The 6,915-nt window shown below is 45.2% G+C and overlaps 1 annotated feature.

Annotated features, from left to right (window-relative positions):
* Positions 5,463–5,998: an enhancer, noted in NCBI's record as "NANOG hESC enhancer chrX:25383902-25384437 (GRCh37/hg19 assembly coordinates)". NCBI's record gives its function as "activates a minimal SCP1, AML or CMV promoter by ChIP-STARR-seq in naive H9 embryonic stem cells {active_cell/tissue: H9 hESC(naive)}" and the evidence as "EXISTENCE:reporter gene assay evidence [ECO:0000049][PMID:30033119]".

Raw genomic sequence — 6,915 nt, 5'->3', positions numbered from 1 at the left:
GGACTTCCTCAACACAAATCATTGTTTCTCTCAGGATTTTATCCTGAACAACAAAATACTTCCTTTAAATTCAACTTTCTCTCTCCTCACCTCACCCTCCTTCCCACTGAACTTGCATTGAGACTCTTTATGACATCCGGGCTCTCAAATCCTTTGTCTTCTACCCCTTCTGCCATTACTTTCTCACTTGTTTCCTCCGTAAACACACATATTTTTCTTTATGTGTTTTCCTTTCGTTCTTCCATCCTAAGAACTTCTCCCTTGTCCCAAGTTATTTACATCAAAGTTCCACAAGAAAATTTCCACAGATACTTCAGTGTTTGTCCAGTTCATACACTGCCTCCAACACCCACAAAATGATTAAAAATGATATGACAGTGTATAATTAATGTTTAAAATCTATGGTACTAAATCTAGCTGCCTCCAGCATCTATTGTTTCTCCCCAACTAGATTGTAATCCTCCAAGAACAATGTATTGTATCCCTTCACGCTACCTGGCACAGATCTGGACAAAATATAGACAAACATACATGAAAGGTGACACCCCTCCTTAATAAAAATGATTGCCAAACAGAATCACACAAGATAAACTTCACTTTATAAAACAAAACATTAATACAGTGCAGAATCAGTTTACTGATGGATTCTGACATGTTACTTCAGGATGATAAAGCATAAAATGAAAAAATATGTATCTCAAAGTTTTACAAAATGTACATCTTTAGCAACTTCCAGTTGATTCATTTAGGTGTTTTTATGTCTGATGATAATACTTATCACAGAATTATGATAAATAACATTCTCTGTACAGACATCCAGCTCTTAAAAAAACAAGAGACAGGACAACCTAAGGCAGTAACGCTGGGAGAACAATAATGTCAAGCTTTTCTGGTACAGCAAATGTCTGGTGTTCTATGATATGTATACCAATATTCAATTTTCAATATGCTGCCTAGAGTCAGTCTTGGGAGAGATTTCAATTTCCACTCTATAGAATACTGCCAAATATGGGGAATAGAAGTATTAATCCTTCCTAGGGTTGTTGTGTTGAGTGTTTCTGATTCTGTGAAAACATATGTATAAACAAAAAGGGAACATTTGAGGAAGGAGACAAGCATGGGTTAAGTAGAGTATGCAGACTGGATATCTGTGGTTCATTTCCACATGTGGCAGAAACAATAACCCAGCATCCTCAATGGTTCAATATTTGCTTTGTAATCTACCCACTTTGCTCTCTGCTCACATCTGTGGGTTCTTCATCTTCATACTATTTAACCATTTTACCCCTGGCCTTAAAGCCCTGGATCTCCTAAGTCTTAAACTTACTTATCTCAGAGGGACTTCAAGATGGCTGACTAGAGACATCTGATACTCCTTTCCTCCACAAAGAAGAACTAAAATAGCAGTAGATAATCACACTTCAAATAGATCACCTAAGAGAAAATACTAGAATTCAACAGGGAAGTAACAAAGAAACGCCTAAAGCAAGGAAGGAGAGGGAAGCAAGGCAACCTGGAGGCTGGGATCAGCTGTGAGCCTGGAGAGGCTCCACAATCTGGGGAAAGGGTAAGTGAGTGACGTCCCCACCACTGTGGTCCACATTCCCACCTTGGACTCCTGCAATCTTAGCCACATGAAAACCCTCAACACATGCAGGCCATGAGGTTAGTATAGGCAGCTGCCTGGACACTGTGCAACTGCATTACTCCAAAGGGGGAGCTCATGCCAGGTTCCACACATACCCCAAGTCTTAAGCAGCTGCAGCAAGGCACCATTTTGAGAAACAAGCCCCCAGCAGACTGCATCCTGCTCTGGGGCCCAATAGTCCCTGCGTCCCCACATCCCTGGAGTCCTACTGGCATTGCCCACATGCAGGTATCACTGCTGGCTGCTGTTGCCAGGGCCAAAGCATGAGCCATTAGCAGTAACCCTGCCACCCCTAGTAGCAGGGCTGTCACACATTTAAAAGTGCACTGAAGAAAGGCTACCTTGCTTATACACACCACCCAGGGCTGAAGCATGCACTCCCTAGCCATGTGTTTATGACTGCCGCCACTAAAAGCAACCTCACCCTCCCCAACAGCAGGGCCACAGTGCAACCACTGCTTCCCCCACTTGAGCATTCTGCCAGGGGCCTTGGGCTCACTCTGCTCCTGCCTACCATAGCCAATGCCCCCACACACCACTGGGGGACCTGAGGACAGGACTCCCCGGCCTTGCTCCACCCATCTCCCCATGCTCAAGCATGTTATCTAGGGTCTGAGGATTGCCCGCCCCTTCCAATCACTGTCAGCACCTGAGCACATAGCCCAGAAGCCTAAGGATAGGCCCACCAAACCTGCTGCTACCAGCACAGCTGGCACCCACCTGCACACACCACTTGTGGACATGGGGACTGGCCCATCTAGCCTGTCATAGCCACTACCACATGAGCAAAGATCACTTGGGAGTCATAGGGTCCCACTACTGCTACTGCCATTGCTTAAACCACGCCCACTGACCAGGGGCCTAAGGACCCACCAACCCACCTAGCCCACCTCTGCCATTCCCAGCACCCAAGCAAGCTGCCTGGAGGCTCAAGAATCAGCCCACCTAGGCCTATTAACACTGGTGCCAGTATATGGTGCCCTGAGGCTCAAGGACAAGCATGGTTGGCCTGCCACCACCACAACTAGGGCCAAAGGACATCCTATCCACCTGACATCCCTATCCCCAGCAAAAGTTTATCACAGCCTCTACTAACAACCACACCCTAATCCCCTGAGGAAATTACAAACACTGCTAAGTCTGTTTACAGCTGAAGAAATCATATGAAGACTACACTACTGCATGAACCCAGAATCAAAGCTAAAGTGCCCTGCCCAACCAACAACATAGACACAGCTTCAGGAAAAAGTACTCCCTTATAAAAGCAAATTCAAAAAATTAGAAGAGGCGACTGTTGTACCAGATGTGCAGAATGACTATTGGGTCAGGAAAAAAACTAAGGAGGAAATAAAAAAATTTCTCAAAACAAATGAAAATCAAAACACAACATACCAAAACCTATGGGTGAAAATGCAAAAGCGATGCTCAAAGGAAAGTTTATAGCAACAAATGCCCACATCAAAAAAGTAGAAAGATTTCAAATGCACAATCTAAGATGCACCTCAAGAAACTAGAAAAGCAAGAAAAAAACAAACAAAATCAGGAGAAGAAAAGAAATAATAAAGATCAGAGCAGAACTAAATAAAACAGAGACTAAAAAACAACACAAGGCCAGGCGTGGTGGCTCACGCCTGTAATCTTAGCACTTTGGGAGGATGAGACGGGGGGATCACGAGGTCAGGAGACTGAGACCATCCTGGCTAACATGGTGAAATCCGTCTCTACTAAAAATACAAAAAATTAGCCAGGCGTGGTGGCATGCACCTGCAGTCCCAGCTACTTGGGAGGCTGAGGCAGGAGAATCACTTGAACCCTGGAGGCGAAGGTTTCAGTGAGTTGAGATTGCACCACTGCACTCCAGCCTGGGCAACAGAGCAAGACTCCATCTCAAAAAAAAAAAAAAACCCACCAAAGATCAAAGGAACAAAAAGTTGATTTTTTGAAAATATAAACAAAATCAATAAAGTCCTAGCTAGGCTAACCAAAGACAGAAGACCTAGATAAATAAAATCAGCAACAAAAACAGACACATTACAACTGATATTACAGAGATACAATTTAGAAGAAAGCTGAAAGCCTATCCTCTGAGATCTAGAAAAAGGCAAAGAGTCTCACTCTAACACCCAGACTGGAGTGCAGTGGCGCAATCTCGGTTCACTACAACCTCCACCTCCTGGGTTCAAGTGATTCTCCTGCATCAGCCTCCGGAGAAGCTGGGATTACAGGTGTGCACCACCACATCCAGCTAATTTTTGTATTTTTAGTACAGACTGGGTTTTACTGTGTTGGCCAGGCTAGTCTCGAACTCTTGACCTCAAGCAATCCGCCCACCTCAGCCTCCCAAAGTGCTGGGATTACAGGCAGATGTCCACTTTCAACACTTCTATTAAATATACTACTAGAAGTCCTAGCCAGAGCAATCAGGCAAGAGAAACAAATAAAAGGCACCCAAATTAGAAAAGAAGAAGTCAAATTGTCACTTTTTGCAGATGATATGATCTTATATTAAGAAAAACCTAAAGATTCCACCAAAAAACTCTTAGATCTGATAAATAAATTCAGTAAAGTTGCATGATACAAAATCAATATACAAAAATCAGGGGAGCAGAGGGAGCAACATGGTGGTATAGAAAGCTCCACCGATGATCCTCCCCGCAGGGTTGCCAAGATAACAACAATCTACACAGAAAAAACAAAAACAAAAAAAAACCCAGCTTTATAAGAACCAAAAATCAAGTGAGCACTTATAGTACCAGGTTTTAACCTCATATCGCTGAAAGAGGCACTGAAGAGATACAAAAACATTCCTTAATTGTGGATGCCACCCCTCCCCGACCTCTGGCAGCAGCAGCATGGTACCCAGAGCACGTCTGGGCGCTGGGGGAGGGAGAAACACAGCAATTGTGAGGCAGTGAGCTCAGTGATGTCCTGTTAGAGCAGAAAGGAAAACCGAATCAAACTCAGTTGGTGCTCAACCACAGAAGGTGCATTTAATCCAGCCCTAGCCAGAGGGAAATTGCCAATCCCAACAGTCCAAACTCGGTGCCTGCAAACCTTGCTACCAAAGACTACAGCCCTCCATGTCTGCAAGTAATCTTGAAAGGCAGTCTAGGACATAAAGACTGCAACTCTTAGGTGAGCCGTAGTGCTGAACTAGGCCCAAGACAGTGAACTGAGGTGGAGGTCGGGGGGCAGGGCGGAGGGTGGGCGGTGCAGGTGCAACATATTTAGACACCAGCTGGGGCAGCCAAGAGAGTTCTGGCATCACCTTTCCCCTAAACCCAGGCTCCACAGATCTAGACTCCAAAACAGACCCCTTCCTTCTGCTTGAGCAGAAGTGAGGGAAGACTGGGGAGGACTGTGTCTTACATCTAGGATACCAGGCCAGCCACAGTAGTATAGGACACTGATCAGAGTCATGAGGCCCCGGTTCCAGGCCCTGACTTCAGACATTTCTAGACACACCTTGGGCCAGAAGGGAACCCGCTGACTTGAAGGAAAGAACCAACTTCTGTCAGCATTCGTCACCTGCTAACTGAAGGGCCCTTGGACCCTGAATAACCAGCAGTGATACCCAGGTACCACATCGAGGGCCTAGGGTGAACCTCTGAGACTTGCTGGCTTCGGGTGATACTCAGCACATAACCAGCTGTGGTGGCTACAGGGCCTTCTGCTTGAGAAAAGCAGAGGAAAAAGTACAGGGGGCTTTGTCTTATGCCTTAGGTACCAGCACTGCCACAGAGGAGTAGAGCAACAAGCAAGCTCTTGGGGTCCCCGATCCCAGGACTTGTCTCTTGGACAATATTTCTGGACCTGCCCTGGGCCAGAGGGGAGCCCACTGCCCTGAAGAGTGACTCAGGCCAGGCAACATTCATGAAAAGCTGACTTAAGAGACCTTGGGTCTTAAGGGAACATCAGCAGTAATCTGGCAGTACCCTTCATGGGCTGGGGATGGTGGTAGCTTCAGGGTGAGGCTGCTCTGCCTTTGGAATGCAAAAGAAAGAGTAGGAAGAACTGTGTCCTGTGGTTTGATTGCCAGCTCAGCCACAATACAATAGAACCCCACTTAGACTTCTAAGGTTTTTGGCTCTAGTCGCTGACTCCAATCGCCGACTTCTGGACCCACCTGGGGCTTAGGGAACCTCACTCCCCTGAAGGGAATGACAAAGGCCTGGCTGGCTTTGCCACATGCTGATTGTAGTGCCCCAGGGCCTTGAGCAAACATAGGCAGTAGCCAGGCAGTGGTTACAGCAGGCCTTCGGTAAGACCCTGCAATGTGCTTGCTTGTCTAGCCCAATGCAGTCATAGCGGTGGTGGCCACAGGGGTGCTTATGTCACTCTACCCCCAGCTTTAGTTGGCTCAGGACAGAGAGATTCTATGTTTAAGAGCAACTAAGGGAAAAGAAGAAGAGTCTGCCTAGTAATCCAGATAATTCTCCCACATCTTGTCCAAGACCATCAAGGTGGTACCTCTATGACACTGCAAAAACCAAAGCATTACTGGGTTTGGGGTGCCCACTAAAGCAGATACAGCTTAGATCACAACACCCAAGTCCTTTTGAATATCTGGGGAGCCTTGCCAAGAAGGATGGTTACAAGTAAGCCCAAGCAGTGAAGACTACAATAAATGCCTAACCCTTCAATGCACAGAGACTACAAGAAGGAGAAATAAAAATCAATCAACATTTCAGGAAACAATGGACACACTTACATAAATGCAAAATGCTCTGGAAAATCTCAGCAATAGAATTGAACAAGTAGAAGAAAGAAATTCAGAGCTCAAAGACAAGATATTTGAATTAACCCAGTCCAACAAAGTCAAAGAAAAAAGAATAAGAAAATATGAACAAAGCCTCCAAGAAGTCCAGGATTATGTTAAATGACCAAACCTAATTGATGTTCCTGAGGAAGAAGAGAAATCTGAAAGTTTGGAAAGCATATTTGTGGGAATAATCGAGGAAAATTTCCCTGGCCTTGATAGAGACCTAGACATCCACATACGAGAAGCAAAAAGAACACCTGGGAAATTCATCACAAAAAGATCATGGCCTAGGCACATTGTCATCAGGTTATCTAAAGTTAAGACAAAGGAAAGAATCTCAAGAGCTGTTAGACAAAAGCACCAGGTAACACATAGAGGAAAACCTATCAGATTAACAACAGATTTCTCGGCAGAAACCCTACAAGCTAGAAAGGATTGGGGCCCTATCTTCAGCCTCTTCAAACAAAACCATTATCAGCCAAGAATTTTGTATCCAGTGAAACTA

Source organism: Homo sapiens, chromosome X, assembly GCF_000001405.40.
Source record: "Homo sapiens chromosome X, GRCh38.p14 Primary Assembly".
NCBI lineage: Eukaryota > Metazoa > Chordata > Mammalia > Primates > Hominidae > Homo > Homo sapiens.
This window is presented reverse-complemented; position numbering and strand designations above follow the sequence as displayed.